The sequence below is a fragment of the Homo sapiens genome, chromosome 7 (assembly GCF_000001405.40).
Source record: "Homo sapiens chromosome 7, GRCh38.p14 Primary Assembly".
Classification (NCBI taxonomy): domain Eukaryota; kingdom Metazoa; phylum Chordata; class Mammalia; order Primates; family Hominidae; genus Homo; species Homo sapiens.
In genome coordinates this window covers 116205926-116224719 of record NC_000007.14, presented here as the reverse complement: position 1 = coordinate 116224719, position 18794 = coordinate 116205926, and the positions used below count along the sequence as shown (strand labels likewise).

At 38.3% G+C, this 18794-nt stretch overlaps 1 protein-coding gene across 2 annotated transcripts in view, besides 5 other annotated features; it reads right to left on the bottom strand.

The window, feature by feature from the left end:
- The window catches only part of TES (testin LIM domain protein), a 48245-nt gene extending 34064 nt beyond the window's left edge, over positions 1 to 14181 (bottom strand). Inside the window, exon 1 of one of the 2 annotated variants that reach the window (NM_015641.4) lies at positions 13986 to 14181. In NM_015641.4, the coding sequence (NP_056456.1) occupies positions 13986 to 14012 (27 nt within the window). In that variant the 5' untranslated portion in view covers positions 14013 to 14181. Of the gene's footprint in view, positions 1 to 1693; positions 1768 to 13985 lie in introns of those variants that run through there. The other variant, NM_152829.3, reaches the window with a different exon arrangement.
- Positions 13253 to 13492: an enhancer, noted in NCBI's record as "active region_26526". NCBI's record gives its function as "activates an Ori minimal core promoter by ATAC-STARR-seq in GM12878 lymphoblastoid cells {active_cell/tissue: GM12878}" and the evidence as "EXISTENCE:reporter gene assay evidence [ECO:0000049][PMID:35858748]".
- Positions 13853 to 13942: a silencer, noted in NCBI's record as "silent region_18555". NCBI's record gives its function as "represses an Ori minimal core promoter by ATAC-STARR-seq in GM12878 lymphoblastoid cells {active_cell/tissue: GM12878}" and the evidence as "EXISTENCE:reporter gene assay evidence [ECO:0000049][PMID:35858748]".
- Positions 14037 to 14299: a silencer, noted in NCBI's record as "fragment chr7:115850475-115850737 (GRCh37/hg19 assembly coordinates)". NCBI's record gives its function as "represses an EF-1alpha promoter that drives an FKBP-Casp9 reporter gene in an ReSE screen in K562 erythroleukemia cells {active_cell/tissue: K562}" and the evidence as "EXISTENCE:reporter gene assay evidence [ECO:0000049][PMID:32094911]".
- Positions 14083 to 14282: a silencer, noted in NCBI's record as "silent region_18554". NCBI's record gives its function as "represses an Ori minimal core promoter by ATAC-STARR-seq in GM12878 lymphoblastoid cells {active_cell/tissue: GM12878}" and the evidence as "EXISTENCE:reporter gene assay evidence [ECO:0000049][PMID:35858748]".
- Positions 14333 to 14462: a silencer, noted in NCBI's record as "silent region_18553". NCBI's record gives its function as "represses an Ori minimal core promoter by ATAC-STARR-seq in GM12878 lymphoblastoid cells {active_cell/tissue: GM12878}" and the evidence as "EXISTENCE:reporter gene assay evidence [ECO:0000049][PMID:35858748]".

The following is an 18794-nucleotide window of genomic DNA, read 5'->3' as shown; positions in this document are numbered from 1 at the left end:
TTATGAGGAAGCTGAATGTCTGCACATCAGCTACACTAACATGGAAGTCCCCGAGGTGATAAATTCACACACAAGGGGATCCTCAGAAGAATGAGGTGTGAGTCAACAAAAATCTCCAGGGTCCTGACGCAAAATAGGTCTCTTTCAATGTTACAGCAAGAGAAAAAAAAAATTAAAAGAATGAGCAAGAAATACAAATGAACAAATTATATTTCAAAATTGAAAGGTGTTTACTCAAAACATGTAGACACGACTAGTACTAAAAATTATCTGCTATATTATATGTAAGATTACATACATTATGCAGTACTCAGGGCAATGAAGCAAAATATCATTCTTTTCAAATTTTTCAAATCACTGAATTTCTAGATTCATAATGGAACACCTCTGTATTCGCTGCAAACTACCCCAAAACTTAGGGTTTGAAAATACGATTTATCATGTCATAGTTTGTGTGTGTCAGGAATTTGGAAGTGGCTTAGGTAGATGGGCAGGTTTACGGTCTCTTACAAGTTTGCAATCGGGGTCAGCTGGGCTGCAAGGATCGACTAGGGAGAGACCCACTTCTAAGATTTCTCACATGGGCCTGCCCACATGGGTACCTCAGGACATGGTAGCTGGTTCTCCCCAGGGCAAGTGATCCCAGAGAGAGCAAGAGAACCACAAGATAGAAGCTGTAATCCCTAATCTCGGAAGTGATGCCATTGCTTCTGCCACATTTCATTTTTTGGCAACTGATCAGGCTAGCCTGCATTCAATGGCAGGGCAATATGTAAGGGTGTGACTACTAGTAGGTGGGAGTAATTGGGAACCATCTTAGATGCTGCCTACTATATCCTCTTTTCTGTTTTGATTTTAAATCCAAAGACTAAGTGATTTGTGACGAGACAGACATATTATAAAGGGGAACAGGGGTATATGGGGTACTTATCTACCACTTCTCTTTATTTTGCCCATTTCAAATATTTAAATTCTCTTCACCCAATGGGCATCTAAAGCAGAACTTTGTTCCTTCCTCATTAATACTTATTCCCTTCAATTTGTTAGTTGTTCACTCAGTAAGAACCAGGAAATGATCTTTCAGAAGACAGGGTAGAATATGATTTTTAGCCTCTAAGTCTCATTTTCTTTCTCAATATATAGTTACACACACTTGGGTACACACACATACACACACACTTGTGTTACAGAAGACAGCTGCAAACCAGATTATTAAAATACCAAATATACTTGGGAGAAAATTTTCGCAATGTTTATATTATGCCACAGTCATCCTTAAAGAACACAGAATAAAAATTGGAAAAGATTTACATAAACTTTTAAATTCCATTATATAAATCCACCTGGAGATGGAATTAAGTAAAAGAAAATAAATTTCAGTACCTCCATGTGACATCAGGAGCCAAAATTACTTGATTCAAATTAGGTAGTATTTACAGTTAGCAGTTCCTTCCCTCACAGTACTACTTATCTATTTGAAACTTAATATGTAACCTTACAATATTATTAGGAGCGAAATTTAGGCCCCCCTTTTAAAAAATAAAAAAGGTTTGTACTTATTTCAGGTAAGCGACTGATGAAAATATATTCCATCTGATCAGTTTAAGCTGGTTCCTTATAAACATTTTTCAAACGGACTGCTATCAAATTATTTTTATACTACTGTATGAAGGAAGTCATTTGAAATGCTTACCAATAGAATACCTCTTCTGTGGACTCTACTCAGAAAAGGACTCCTCCTGAATCCGTTACTTTGAGAAAGACAATGTAGGGCTATAAAAATGTCACAATTATTATAATAAGCAATGACTGCAGCTGAAATTGCTTCTTAATTAGGATTGGCTGAGCTCTGGCTCCGCTGAAAGACACTGTAATGGAATGCGCTCATAAACAGCCCTCAAAACCTCCTATTTATTTGCTATAAAAGGGACTTTAAAAACCTGATTCCAAAACGCATCTGTAGGAGTTCCATAAAAGAATCTGGATCATGGCAACCATTCCTAATTTGGTCTTGTGTCACTATCTCCACAGCTGCTTCTAAAGGGTGGATCCCACAGAGAGCTGCTTTGAGAGGTCTTAATTAAGGCTCTTTATCCCCAAACTTGAATACTGCGATCATTCTTGCGATGCCTAAAGGCTATGGTATTATTTCTTCAGGGGTAACCCATCATAATACATGGGTGAGGGGATGAGTAGATTGACTGTACAATTAAGTGATTTATTGCCACTAATTCTTTAACTATCTAACTGGAGCACATGCAGAAAAAGACGGCAGTACAGATGTGTTTTCACAGACTGGAGAATGAAAGAAAAGGCTCATGGCATTGGCTGAGGGCTTCACTGAAGGAGGCTGCCCAGAGGAGCAGGAGGATCCAAGGAAACCTAGAGAGTAATGCCCAACAGAGACAGCAAAGAAAACAGAAAAGGGGGTGCAAAAAGACAGTCTTCTCGTTTTTCTCTTTTGCCCCAAATTAGCATTCACAGGCATTTAGAACAAAAACAAAGTCTTATAGCAAGGAGAGGGGTCTTGGAAACCAGGAAAGGAAGGGAGAGATGTAAGAACCCTACTGCCAGGTCCTCATGCTTGCTTATTTATTTATTGCATACCCTTTTCACACCATCCCTTATTCTGGAAAAAAAAGAATTCTGTTTATTGATATGTTGTGCTGCATAAATCAAAGAGCCTTAACTAATTTTTGACCCATGTTTTAACTTTTGATGTATCAGAGAAGTGGTTTGGATTACCATACTTTTTGCTCTATATTTAGACTATACCACTAAAGAAGGTGCACAGACATCATTTAAAATTTGTCTAGTGATTCAAGGAAATCAGACAATTTTCAAAATATGCATATACCACCTATTTACAACTAAGATAAAATTGCAGTTGCATGTTAATTTAATTTTCCTTCACTTTAATGGAACAACAAGCACAAAAATCAAAATCAGATTCGTCTAGAGCAGAAAGTGGGCTCAATCTTAAGCCACCAATGAAATTAGAGCAGTTTCAGTACATTGATTCTTGATTCTTTCAGATGTACAGAGGAATATGAGAGTAATTCAGAGTGGGGACAGTCTTCTGTAAGACTCCTTCCACAGCTTTCACTGTGGGAAGCTGTGAAGACTTAAATCCCAGCAACAGAGCAATAGAAGCAAGCAAGGTCTCTTGAGGTCCAAGCTTAGGATTCACACACCACTTCTACCACATTCTACTGATCCAAGTAAGTCAGAAAGCAGTCCAGATTCAAAGGGAAGGAAAACAGACTCCACTTTTTAATGGGAGGTGCTGCAAAGAATAGTAACCATTTCTGTAATTTACCTCAGAAACTCTGAGGAAGATTCCAATCAGGGAAACATACCAATTCCCTATACGGGACCACAATACGTTGCAGTGTTCAATCAAGTGCTTTCTCAGGGAACCTAATATACCCAGCTTTGAATCCTTTGCATAGCGATTGGCACATGGTAGGTACTCAAGTTCCAGAAATATTTATAAATTTTAATTTCATTATAAAAATATAAATCAGAATAATTTTTAAATTAGCAAAAGGATACATTAAATATATTAAATTTTTAAATTAGCAAAAGGATATATTAAATCCAGTAATTTAATATATCCCCCAGTTATCGAACTTTAAATGGATATTTGTGTCCAACAAAGTACCAAGTGGCAATAATTTACTGAGAGCATGCCATCATAAAATTCTTGACAATATATTCAGGTGTCTGTTAAATAGCATGAAGATCTATGCAGGATTTTCTTCCCTCTAGATTGAATTTCTTGAAGAGGATTACCACACATTTGTTTATTGTCTATGTGTAGGCACCATACTTTGTGCTTTAAGATATTCATCTCGATTATCCTTACAACCCTGTGAGGTAGACAGTTGAAACCCATTTTCAGATGAGGATACTAAGGTTTACAGGGCTAAGTAGCTTTCCCAAATTCACACAGCTAATAAACGCCAGGGCCAAAAACTGAACCCAGGGTTCTAAAGCTGATACCCAACTTTAATGCAGTTCTGGTTCTCAAAATGTTTACTTATTGGTACTAAGGTCTAACTAACTAAACAAAACTGATCAGAGAACATTAATAACACTGACCAGGTACTTGCTATATGTCAGGCACTGTTCTAAACATTTACATGTACTACTTTATTTAATTTCACAATAATCCAATAAAGAAGTACTATCCATGTTTTGCAGATTAGATCTCTGAAACCAAGGAGCAACTGTTGCCAAATTACTGAGTAAATATCAAAGGTGGGATCCAAATCTATGTCTGGAAAAGTCAAAGTCTGCGCTGCTTCCTTTAAATTCCCTAACTGTTAGAGAAAAGTGGGCAACAGTGGTCCACAGGATGATCCTACCCTCTGGCTTAATTTTATCTGGTCCATGAGAAAGTAACAATGAATAACATCACTACTGGTTTACCTGGGACATCTTAAAAGAGCTGTGGAGTTAGGCCACTGAAATCTGTCTTGCCTCTTTTTACCTTTAAATTCTGCCAATTATCTTGGGATAACCTTCTATTCCATTACCAAAGATAGAGTCTAACACATATTATTGGAATGTTCACAGAATATATTTTCCATTTGTTGCAGTATATAAAAGGTAATATTTTGTAATTCCCCTTCAAAACCTTAGGCAACTTGCCATTTCCCAAAGAAATGAGTTTTACATGTCTTCGTTTAACACGGAAGTCACATGACCCGGCTGGAATGAATTTGGAGAGGCCTATGTTTCAAAGCTAACAGAAGAGTGACCAGATTAAAAAAAGGAAACCCTAAATATCAAGTAAGGGATACTGCAAAGTTAACTTTCCTCTACAGTTTTTCAGAATGACCAAAAACTACTCTGCTTTGAAACGTGTAGTCTGATACCATACAGAATATCATCTCAGAATACTCTTGATACATGAAAGATCTTCAGAAAAGTATCCTCAAGCCCCTACATTCAACTGTCCCTCTATAGCACACGTGGTAGACTGAAGTAATGGTCCCAATCCTTCATTCCCACGTAATAGTATTCAACATCATATCCCTGCCCTAGCCTCATAGTTGCTAGACTGGACTTCTCTCCTTGACTTCAGAACTGGACATGTGACTGCTTTGGCATAAGAAGAGGCTTAAAAGGTGCTCCTGCAGTTGGGCATGACCTTTACTGTTGGCTTCACTGATCTAAGAAGGATGAAAACCTGGCAACATTGTGGTCCCAGTCCACAGCTCAGAGTCCAGACCAGCCTAAATGAGCTAGACTCTACTGTGAAATTTCCTCCTCTCTCTCAATAGATGACACAATGTATTAAATAATCATCACAGTTAAGGGAGATCAGAAACTCTTCAGCTGTGGGCTAGGGTCTTATACTAGCTCAGTGACATACCTCTTTAATTCAAACCTGTACTGTGGAAAAATTACAAATTACTGCAGCTCATCTACTTTAGCTTTATTTTAGAAGAGACAAAACTGAAAATGTCAAGGGTGGTTTTACTGACTTTTCACAGCCAGGTACCTTTGGTTCATGCTATTTCCTCTTTATGGAATGCTTTCTTTGCCTAATGAAAGCTTCTTTATTCTATAGGAGGTGTTTCCTTGATAAAATAATCGCAACCCACACAATTAAAGTTAGTTACTTCTGCTTCTAAGACTTCATAACAGTTGTTTGTATTTCTATTATTGCTGTGCTACTCAAAGTGGCAGTTCACAAAGTGTAAGTCACTAGTCTGTGATGAGATAGGCAGAGAAACTGACAGTAGGCAATTAGGAACTACTATATACTTAAAGTAATTTTGTGTCTCTTGCATTTAATAATTTTTTTAATTGGCCCTGTATTTGTCTTTTAAGTAATAAATTTTTATTGTGTTTTTAAAAATATCAACCAATGATTAATTTTTGTTTATAAAAAGGTTCCTCATCCCAGATAAGAAATTGTATTATAGCACTTATGTCATTCTATCCAGCACTGTAGTTAACTTACACATCTGTTTTGCTCACTCATCTTCCTTCCTTTTTTAAAAAAAAATCTATCAAAGGTGACATCGGTATTTTGCTCAAGAGGTGATACTGATAGATATGGAGTTTAGAGTCTGTAGTTTTAAATCTAAACTGCACTTTTAATATTCTCTACGAAAAACAAAGGGTAATTTTTTTAACCCCCAGTTATTTTTATTGTAGGCCAGTATCTCATAAAGGAAAAATCAGATCCTTGATCCTTACTTTGTGACTCATTCTGTTAAGACTGTCACGTTGTGGTCATATAAAAACAAAAATCCACCTAACATCTACATGGTCATTTTTCAATGAAACATGATATCACTTTATCATCAAACAAAGCAAGGGAAAAGTTCATTGTGGCTAGAGATGCATTAATGGACTCCTTATCAAGGCATTTCTGCTGGGCTGAATGCCATCTTTTCTGCTGGGCTCGCTGCTCAGATAAGCTATGCAATGAACACCCTGAAACTCCTGTTTACAGCTTTTCACAGTGGCCAGAATGTCACAATGATAAACACAAGCTGAATCACTCATGGTTTGAGGATAATTCAGCATTTCAGATTAAGTATATTTACAGAGTAGTAACTTTGCTGTCATTCAGCAGATGAGATCTCAGCAATCCCCACTAGGCTGGCTTCTAATAACGCTCTCCCACTTTAAGCCATGCTCAAATCTGAGCCGACTCCCCACCATTCTAACAGACTAAGGAACAGAGAAATTGGCAATTCTAAACTATGCTTTTTTACTTTTTTGAATTTGACCAAAATAAATACAGTGATACTTAGAAAATTATAGTCATGCATATCCTTATCGCTCTAATTCCCCATTATCTAACTAGAATGTTAGGTAGACAGGGCACTTAGAACTGAAAATTGACAAAACCATGCTAAATGGCAGCTCTTTTGTAGGAGAGTCAAAGATTGTAGTTGGGCAGTTGAAAAGCATAACCTCTAAATTTAATCCTCTAATAGTGCTTGAGGCAAATTTTAAACATGGATATTTACTCAAAGAACAGTAGTGAAGTTATCAATTACCAAATTATTTTTCTTTAAAATCCTGAAAATCTGCAGTTTTGCAATGTTTTTGATTAGTCTTTTGTTTCCTTATCTTCCTCTCCTAGAAAAAGTTGATTTCATAATTAATAATATAATTTCTCTGGATACCACCACCTTGTAAAAAGTAAAATAATTTCCTGTATATTAATGATTTAATAAACAATTCTTTTAAAATCATAATTTTGGTTACCATGGCAGTAGTTACCAAACAAAAATTAGCTATGACTGCAAACAGGAAATCCAAGAATGACTCTTTTGTAAGGCATTTGTAGGCAGGGAGAAGACTTATAGTTTGTGTATATTATAGGTGTAAGTCTATTTGTATAGCTTTATGCATTCATAATCTTTTTCACATTCTAATACATAAAAGCTGCTTTCTCATTTTCCCATCTTTTACATTTGCTATTACTTAAGACAAATGAAATAAGAATCCCTAATTACAAAGTTTGCAAAACCAAGAATCAAGCCCAGGGATCACCATCAAAATTGCTCACTGTCTGTGTTAGAAACATAGCGTACTGCTAACCTATCAAGAGTTCACTGACGGGTATAATTCCAGTTGTGCTTACTTTCAATATTTACATTGCTCTATCAACACTTGCAATAGCATAATTCTATGATACAAGCTTAAGTTCAGTGTCATTCTTGTTCACAACTATAACCCCAGAGTCTAGAACAGTGCATGGTACGTAAAAAAGCACTCATATAGTTTTTTTTTAATCTTTTAAAATTATTTTAACAGCCTTATTTTGAGAGAGATAACTTTTAAAGAAAATAAATGTTCCATTATTTTTCATTTTCCCATAATTAAATACCAAGGTAAGTAATACATCACTCCTAGACTTATGGGACCCACACTATTACAGCCTTCAGAGCCTTATACTACAGATTTAAATTAATTAAACTTAACCTAATATCTTCAAATACCTCCACAAATATTATGAAAATTAAGTACAAACAAGTTGAAAATAGCTAAGATTTGTGGAAAAAAATTATTTGGTTCAATCTATAGGTTCTTCATGGAATTCACTAACATTTAAACTATGCCATCTCCTTTATGTATATATTTATACATATATGTTCTTCATTTGTGTGATTTTAAAGCACTGTGGAACATTACACATGGTAGACTACTGATATTATTTCCCACGATCAAAGAGTCACAGGACTTGGAGAAACCTCAGAAATCATCTGGTTCCCCTACTGATTTTTATATAAATAGAAATTGATAGCCAAAGTGGTTAATATCACAAAAAATAGTGGACTCGGATCTACCAACTCTCAGCTTAGGGCAATTTTAAATATATTATACTGATAAATGGAAGTGAGAAAACGGATACACTATGGAAGACCTTTCCATACACTATAGATGTTTATATATACTGGAGACTTACTGACCTTTCCTAATTTCTAAACACACTAGTGATTGGTATGTAAAAAAGGTATATACACATTAGCATGGGGCCAACTTGTATTCCTTCTTCTAGTTCTCAGAAAAAGAACACAGGAAGTAGCTTCCATGTTACCAATTTATCACTCTCTTTCCACTAAGAAAGCCCCTCTTGGTAACTCGTGTTGCACACTGATGGTCTATGATGTTGATCGCATGCTAACAATGCTGGATGTCACTCTGGAGCTCCATGAGAGCCTCATGAAATATCTGATCATTTTGGTGTTTCCCACAGCTTCTCAGCTTCATAAGAAATGTTTTTGCATGAAGAATGGGAAATTAAAACAAAAAAATAGTTCTCCCAATATTAAGAGGTTTTTTGTTTGTTTTTTGTTTCTTTTTAGCTGCTCCATTCTTAGCTGTCTGGTCTGCCACTCCAGAGGCACTCTGAACACTTTGCTACAAGGGAAAAGAGGTTTAGCCTACTCATGCTATGTGTAAGGCTTTCTCTCAACTGCAGAGCTCAACACGAGAAAAGACCACGAGCATCCCTTTATAGTTCCAGATGCCATTGGTTAAACTTAACAAAACAAAGAGCCAAATACAGGGTCACTGTTACCTAGGGCCATTTTACATAGTTAGGAGACAGCATTACCATTGGCTCACACCAAAAGTCAGGAAGTTGGGAGAATCTTAGAAGATAAGGTACAGAATATTATTGGAGTTTATGCTATTTCTTTGACTGTAGAAGTTTCCCAGAAACTCCTTTTCACAATACTTTTACTTTTCGTATACTTTGCCTCTGCCCAAAGAATGTCAATGGCAACTTACACTAAAGGGAATACATACAACATGGACAAAGTAGAAACAAAATATAGAAAACTAGCAGGATGGTGATTTTATTGGAATATAAACCACTTCCTCAAATATAATTCCTTTAAAAAATGAGTGAAAGTGTTGAAATGTACCTTATTTTATTTCTCTTTTTATAACAGTTATCATTCCACATATATTTAGTGAGCAAGATGAAGAATATAAGACTCGGCCTAGTTGGCATGATGGAAGCAGCATGGATTCTTCAAATTATGGTTCAAGTTCATAGTAAAGTTCTCTATAGTAAGGTTTCAGATTACGCTATCTAAACTTTTAGTTTCTTCATCCTGAAAATGGGGCTAAGGCCTACTTCCTAAGGTTGCTTTGAACAGCAAACAAAATAACCACGTAAGTGTAACAGGATATGGATTCATCTCTCAAGAAGTTTGTAAGCAAGGTAAGAAGGTGAAACATACAACAGATAAGTATAATCCAGAGGTGGAGAGTGATTAGTGTCCTAAGTGTTACCAATAACATGTTTTGGGAATTCAGGAGAAAAGGAGAAAATATTTTTCATCTAGGTGGCAGCATGGAGAAAGATTTCCTAGAGGAGTGTGCAGTGTGAAGGGTTGGTCCTTGAAGGATGGAAAAAATTTAGAACTGTAGATGGAGTATGGGCATGCACAAGCAAAGTCATAGGGTGAGTTGATGGGACATAGGTAATAGCCAGTAGCAATATAAATTCCTATTTCTACTTCATAGGACAGCATAAAGGAACAGAATCAATAGAAAACCTACTATAGTTTTTTTCTCCAACCAATATTCAGGACAATTAAGAGAAAGGGACTTTTCATATTCTACCAATGTAATGAATCACACCATGGGTTAGAATAGTTTTATAAAAGCCTGGCCGAGGACCACTCATTTTCTTCTGCACTTGTTCAGAGAGGCAGAACACCTCTAAAGCAAAGCCCTGGATGTGCCTTGCCCTACCTTTACCCTTAGTCTTGCCAATGGTTCTTGCAGCAAGAATGGCTTCAAGCCTGGAATGCAATTGTAGATTTGAGCATCCAGGTCACCATATATTGCCTTTTCCACTTCAACCAGGGGCTACCTAAGGCAAATAACTCATTCTAATTTCCAATGGAAATAATCTTTGTAGTTTAGTCCTTTTTCCAATAGTATTCATTTGGTTTCACTATGCTTTTTTGGCTAATGACAAAGGTTTTGAAAACAAGTTTGGATACAGAGAAAGGGGATTTTTAGTAACATGTAATCTTTAAAATGCATCATATTTTTAAAAAGTAAAATTAAAGAAATAAGAGTCTTAAGAAAAGTATGCAAAATATTAGGATTAATCAAAATAAAGGGGTTAGAGGAGAGAAAAAATGAACACGGTAAAATGAAAAAGCCCTGCAGCAATTCCAGGCAGTAAAAGGGAAATTATTGTAGTTCTCTTTCTCTGTTGGTATGTTCTTAATTGAAAAAAAATATTTCTCATGGGAGAGTAACACAGAAAGGAAAGAGGAAAACAGCTGGCTGTTGGCCATGATTTACCATTCACCGCAAAATGAGACTGTTTCTGCTTCTCAAAGTCCACTGTTTTTCCCAAGCAGACATGGACCATACTGACACAAAGCCAATTAAGATGAGACTTAAAAAATAAGAAAGAGGTCTAGATGTGTAACTCAGAAGACAGGGCAAGGACATAGAATCAATTCTGTTCTAAAGTATTATTAAAACAAAAACTTTGTATAACCAAACTAGCTCCCACATCCTAGCAACAGCTCGCTTTCTTCAAACAAAACAAAATATAGCAAAATCTAATTATAAAAACCCCTTGTCTTTGTGATGGTGGGTTTTAACTGGTAATTAATCCCAATTTGTACAACTGATGTGGACGAGCTTTCCTTTTACAAACCAAGAATTTTATAATAGTATCATCTATCTCAATCACTGTTTAATAAAGACAGTCCTCCTTAATTCTTTTTACATGAAATGTTAATGTGGAACAATGATGCTTTTCATCTGTCTGGAAGAAATTCCTCATGAAATCAACAATGTAAAAGTTTTAGAAGGAAAAAATGTCATACATCTTAAAACAGAAGTCATATTAGTTGTATTTAAATGGTTGTATCTTTGTTCCAACTTTTAATCTTCCTTTTCTCAAGGTACATTCAAACTATAAATTTTCTTGAATAACTGAGTCAAAAAGAAAGGAGACTTGAAAACTAGGTACCAAAATAGGGTGAGGACTCTGCTGGTAAATCAGATAGTCTTGTAATATTTCCTTCTTTGGACGTGTTAGAAAACAATTGCTAAAAGGAACATAAATTTCTTTTTGAGAGTATGGCTAAGATTGTGAAATACATTCCTGAGATTTCCAAATTTTGTACTGGGAAACTTTTTGTTAGACTATCAAGCCTATTAAGGGACTCACAAATTGGAGTCATACGGGACATCTCTGCGGTTTTTTAATAGCTTCCAATTTACCAGTTGAGGATTCTAAGAATCATCAGTGAAGACAACGTAGTGAAACAGGGATTTGTTATATCATGGGATTCTCTCTAAAACCTTTAATTTATGGAATTCTTTCTGGGGTGGTAGAGGCGGAGAAGAGGAGGATTAGAGAAAGTTAAGATTCTTGGTTGAAAATATAACTTTTAAAAGTAAAGTGGGGGATAAACGAGGAAAATTACACCATATGTCAAGGGCATTATTTATCATAATCCACATTTTCAAACTCTAAGGAAATTGTTTATAAACAACGTCTGGATTTTTCCTTTGCAAGCATATACAATTTTTAAGTTTGAACTTCTTCCCTCAGAATTACTCCTTGTCTCAAAAAGTTTCAAAAATGTCTTTGATTTTTCTCCCCCTATTAAACAGACTTTATTTTTAAAGCATTTTTTAGCTTCACAGCAAAATTGAGCAGAAAATTCGAAGTTCCCATGTACCTCCCCCATGCCTTCCTGTCTCCAGCAGCCTCCCGGACTACCAACAACCCGTATCAGTGCAGTACATTTGTTACAAGTGATGAAACACATTGACACATCATTATCCCCAACATACATAGTTTACATTAGGGTTTACTCTTGGTGTTCTACATTCTATGGATTTTGATTAATGTATAATTACATGTATCAGCCATTTTATAGTATCATACAGAATAGTGTCATTACCCTAAAAATCCTGTGCTTCACCTGTTCATCCTCGGCAGCCCAAAATATGTTTACTTTTGCAAAGTTGTCTTCAAATAAATACTTAAAAGCAAGGACAAGACCCCCCAAGTTTTAGACAAGTACTAAATTAAGTAGCTCTTACCTACTTGAAAACTAAATGAGAGTAGTATTCATCAACAGAAAGCTAAGCGGGCAAAATGCTTTCCCCGCTTTTCCCCCATGACAAGCAAGATTAACCAAAAATATTACAGTTATTTAAAAGAAAAAAAGAAAGAAACCAAATGGGAAGAGAATAGAATGCAATCACGCTACCATTAACAATTTATGTTTTTCTGTTCTTGGATACCTTTTTGAGTGCCTGAGAATTTTAGTCGCAAGGAATGAAAAAAACTGTTTTCTCATTTCGAGTTTTTATTGGTCAATAGCTTCCTAACCGAAAACTCTGCAGTCCTAACACAATATTTTGTATCCATTTTCAAAAATCCAGTTCTGGGCATAAAATAGAATTAATGCTCAAGTCAAAAACTTTGTGTTTAGAAGATAAAATATTAGGAACCATGAGTATGAGAAAAACAAAAACTGTTTTCTGTATTTTTCCCTTCCTCTCTCTGCAAAACTTCTCTATTTGATAAGGGACAGCTAGCTTAAATTTACCACAAAGTAAAACATGAGCAAATCCCCTGGAACGAGGAGAACTTTCGCACAGGGCAATTCACTCGAATGTGACATCAGCATTCCTTCTGAGTCATAGTCTGGTCCCCACCCTTTTCTCCCAGGCGACACCAGGCTCCGCATAACCCGGGAGTGGCTCAGGTAGGGCCGTCGGTTCCAGTGCCTGCGAGGCAGCAGCCAAGCTGAAAATGTCTCCCTGCGCTGAGACGCTGGTGACAACCGCCCTTTGGGACTACCTGCCAAACAAGGAGAATGCGCTCTTTGACAGATAATTCCCTAAGAGGGAGGCACTGCCTCGGTCGGTAGACAAGTAATGAATGACCGAAAAAAAAATCACATTAGAAGTTATCACCAGCACGGGTGCGAAGGCAGTGCATTAAATCAACACTCATTTTAGAGCGCCCCAGACAGCCCAGCCGGAAGGGAGGAGATCAGAGCTGTCAAAGCACAGCAGAGCCCCAAACCACAAAGGCTTAATGAAATTCAACTTCCTGAGCCAGGAAGTGTCACGGTCTCGCCCGCACTCGCCCTAAGCTCGTCCTTTCCTTTTGAGGAGGCACAGGCAGAGCTGAAACATCTTAAGTAAAGTTTCCAACACCTACAACCACTGGGATTCCGTGAGACTGGAGAGAAGAGTCCCGCGCCCGCCCTCGCTCGCGCTTCCAATTCTGTCGCTCCCGAGTGTGGGGAGCTGGCGGGGCCGCCGAGCACCTCCTCTACCCAGGGGGCCAGGTCCCTGGGCCCGGGGCACCGCAGACCCAGAGCCGGGCTCACACCGGGGGGCCCGCGAGCCCCACCCACCTCGGCACCTCCGGCCGCCGCGCGCCGCGCGACCCGCGCAGGTGAAGCAGCCGCCGCCCGCCACGAGCGCCCCCCTACCTTCTTCACTTTGTTTTCCAGGTCCATGTTAACGCGTCCTATGGGTCCCCTCCTCCTCCTATCCGGGATCCCACGGCCGGGTTCAGCTGGCCTCCGGCTCCGCTGCGAACACGGGAAACCTGCGGAACTCCCGCGGCGCCGCTCAACAGCCACTCGCCCGGCGCCGTCGAACTTCCGCCGCCCAGTCCGCCGCAGCGGGCCTGCGGCCCGGACCCGGGAACAAAGGGGGCCGGGCAGCCAATGGCAGCCGGGCAGCTCCGGGCCGCCGCCAATCACCGAGCGCCGCACGCACCTTCGCGGCCCGAGCGCGGCGCTGGCAAGGTGAGAGGCGGGGCGGCGTCCGAGGCGGCGCCCTGCTGGGCAAGCTCAGTGACCCTGACCTGGTCTCCGAAGGGATTCTCTGGGCGTCCACGGGCCGGCTTCTAAAGAGCTGGGATCCCCAGCCTCCCTCTAGCTGAAGATGGAGAAGAACTTTTTCCATTTGGCAATTTGTACCTGTGTTTGCCCAGGACTTTTTATTTGGGTCAAGGGGAATAGTTATCCCAATACTAACTTCTCAGTTTATTTTCAGGGTAAAGAGAGAAAAAAAAGAGAGAGAGAGAGATTGTAGGGATCGTTAGGGATTCCTGTGATGGACCTTGGGCACTAAATTCAATATTGCGTTGTGGAGATGCCCTTTCCTCAATTGCTTTTTTCCACAATCCCAAATACTGTCAAGAAACCGTATCTTACATCCCTAAAGTCAGCGAAGATTCTTAGATTGTTTTCTGAGCATTGGGTTGTTCAAAAGTAAAGATGATGTGAATCACTTCAGAAACAGGTTGTGTCATTCCTTTGGAAGCAGAGGGTTGCCCTTTGTCTCTGTGTGAGATGGTGCTAGGCCTATCGCGTGCTCAGGCTTTGATGAAGCAGAGTCATCACATTGGTGCACCAAAGCTGAATTCATTTCATGCCCTAATTCAGGAGCAATTGCATCTAATACCATCAGATTGGTCGGTCTGGAAGGGAGCCTAACGATTACTTAGTCTAGCTTCCTCACTTTGCAGGGAACTGAGGACTCCAGAGGTGCAGGGACCTGCCTAATGTCTTAGCCTGTTGGGGACAGAGGCATTGCTCATGAATCTAAACAACTTCTCAAAGATGTTTGGGGCTGGAAGCACAGCATGTTGACTAAGGAAAAAGAGCAGTCAATTTTCTTCAATTTGTGGTTATGGCAAAAAATAACATTGCCCAGACAGCAGGTGACCTAATTTGGCACCTACTTTTAAAAATAACAAAACAATATAAAACAAACAAACAAAAATTCCCTAATAATGCAGATATTCAGGTCCAGATGTATGTCTGCCTTGCCTCGAGAAATTTGGTAGCTAAAAATATCCAAAATTCATTTTAGCCAATACTTGCAACTCTGCTTACTTGATTATTTGTTAACACAGAGCATTGATTTATAATGTGCATGTTTCCTTTATCCTATTAAGAATTAAAACTGAAATTACCAAAATGAGTTATGCATTTTTCTTTTCAGCTGATGTAAAACTTTTCTGTGTCATTTTCCCAAACCACCTTGAAAGGTGTGGGCCCCTGCAAAGTCTGCCCGTTGTAAGTGTATAGGATCATGAGGTCTAGCTATGACAAGGCAATTTTGTTTCTTTCAGAGAGCTTAACAGATGGAAAATGTCCAGTAAAGCAATTTAAATAAGGCATCAAACAAATGTTGTAACATAAATTTTGGACCCTTATTTGATGAGGTTGCAGAGATGACACTAAGAAAACCATCTGGAAACTTTTTTTTTTTAACTGTCAACTTCTGCCTTTCTCCCATTCTTCCTTCCCAACCCTCTCAGCATTACATTGTGTGTGTGTATCATTGGCAAGGATGGAAATAGAAATTCAGTGAGTTTTATCTGGAATTATCACTGTGCCAATTATATAAAAATAATTATAGATTATGTATAAATTATAAAAATAAAATTGAGGTAGATAAGTGTTAAGAGAGTTAAATTGTAAGTTTTTGTTCAGTTATTCAGGTGTTAAGCTACAGTTATTAAGGAGGTAGAACTGGCATGGTTTGATGAGTACATGTAGTTGATGACAGTGGAATGAATAGAAGATGGCACACATTTCTATCTTGATCACCTCTATGGATAGCTCAGAAAGAGAGAAAATATAGGATGATGGTCAGGGTTTTGTTCAGTTGTGCATTCTTTGGGGCTGGTGGTGGACATAAAGGATACAACTTTTAATATATTGAGTTTGAGACTGAGACATTGAAATGAGTATCCAAATATACATCTTGAATGCTGATTTAGGAGTTCACATCCTACATAAATAAATAATTAAAGGCCAAGAAGTGAGATGAGCCTCGGAGACAGTAAAATAAAAGAGAAGAATATCAAAGACACCAAGTGAGCAAGGCTGAGCAAGAGAAACACATAAAAGAGATAAGGGCTAGATTAAGGGTAAGAAAAAAATTAGGAGTCAAATCCCTAAAAGCAAGAAAGGAAATTGAAGAAGAAATTAGTTAACAATGTCAAATTGTAGAAAAGGGTCAAATGCCCTTCGGATTTAACAAAAAGGAGATCATTGGTGACTTTGGAAAGTGCATTTTTGGTGCAGTTGTGGGGAAAGATATTACTTTATAATTTTATCTCCCTTTGTTTCTACCAGAGTGCTTTAGTCAATGTTGGACTTGACTTTTCCACAAAACTTATGGACACATCAGCCAAATAAATGCCCAACTCTGCTGTTTCAATCAAGTAGAGAGGAAATCAATATACTATACTGGATAATACTAAGGAATGGTCTTAAGATCTTTATCTTTAGAGAAGTAAATGAAAATACTAGATTTTACACATGTGTGCAGGCACACACAGAGAGAGAGAGACAGACAGAGACAGAGACAGAGGAGAGAGAGAGAGAGAGACTGAAGTTCTCTGTATAGGCCAAACAAAATATTTATTCAGGTTAAATTCAGTTTCTATGCTATCAAATTACAATATCCGATGAGGGAAATGTGTTAAACTTTTATGTACCCTTCATCACTGGAGAGATGTAAAAATACATAAGACATTCCCTTTGTTCTTAAGCAGTTTACAGATTAGTATGGGAGTAGCAGGTGTGTAAGAGTAATGAAATGTTACAGGTAGAGGGAAGCACACGTGAGAGTCAGGGAGAAGGTGGTATTGGGATTTGTAAAATCTTTAGAAAAGAGTAACCTTGGCTTAGTCTTGGAAGATGAATAAGTGTCTTAGTTAAAACTCTTGATTGCAAGTTATATTAGGCCGTTCTTGCACTACTATAAAGAAATACCTGAGACTGGGTAATTTATAAAGAAAAGAGGTTTAATTAGCTCACAGTTCTACAGGCTGTACAGGAAGCATACCTTCTGCATTGGCTTCTGGGGAGGCCTCAGGAAGCTTACAATCATGGCAGAAGGCAAAGTGGGAGAAAGCACTTCACATGGTAAAAGCAGGAGCAAGAGAGACAGAATGTGTTGGTGGGGGAGGATGAGGTGTGCCACACAATTTTAAATGACCAGCTCCCCTGTGAACTCAGAGAGAATGCTCATTTATTGCCAAAGGGATGGCCCAAGCCACTCATGATCCAAACACCTCCCATTGGGCCCTACCTCCAGCATTACGGATTACAATTCAACATGAGATTTGGGTGGGGACAAATATACAAACCATATCACAAGTAATAGTAACCCTCGAGCTAGTTTACTTTTAAAAAGATGGCATTTTATTTTAAGGATACAGAGGCTTGTTGCAAAACTCAAGGGCCAGATGCATCTGCGACTAGACCAGGCACTTGCCAACATCTGGAACAAGGAATCTACTCCTTCACTGGGGTTATGTGGTCTCTCATCTTGCTGCTTGGCCTCCATCAGCTTTAGTTCTTTCTCTTTGAAGACTCTGTTTTCCTGCACACATGGGCAACCAATAAAGGCAGTCTCAGCTCGTTAATTGACATCACCCTAGTTCAAGCAAAATACCCAGTTTGGGATTTCAACCCCTCTAACAAAAAGACTTTAAATAGCCCAGCTTGGATAAGCTTAAACTTCTGATTCAATTAGCTGAAGCTGGTGCCAGTTGAGAGACACAAAGGACAACACATAGACTAAAGCCCAAACTTATAGGTAGGACAAATCTCACAGAGAGGGAGTAATAAGAGTTTTCCAAATGCCTCCAAAGATATCTATCTCTGTTTCAGATGTTACAAGGAAATTAGCAAAGGAAGAGGCTTAGTAAGTACAAGCAGAAGATTTTTCTTTCTGTCGATATTGGAGAACTTTTTCCCTTGACTTTTATTATAGGTTTGGGAGTACATCTGCAGGTTTGTTACATGATTAAATTGCATGTTGCTGGGGTTTGGTTTACAAATGATTTCATCAGCCAGGTAGTGAGCATAGTACACAACTGGTACCTTTTTGAACCTCACCCTCCTCCCACCCTCTACCCTCAAGTAGGTACCATTGTCTATTGTTCCCCTCTGTGTGTTCTGGTGTACTCAATGTTTCTGAACATTTCAAAAACTATTTAAATTACAGAAACCCCACTTGGGCAAAAAGTTGTAGATGTTTATTTTATTGCTAGGAATGGGGGTAGATAATGAATAGGACAAGTCTAAAGAATGGAAGATTAATCAGGAGATTCTAGCTATAGCCCACAAGAAATATGATGAGGGCCAAAGTAAAGCAGTAGCAATGACTGTGGAGAGTTAGAAGGATTTATCAATGATATTAAACAGGTAGAAAATATTGGACTTGACTGATTCTTGAAAAGAGAGAGGATAAGGAATCCATTAGGA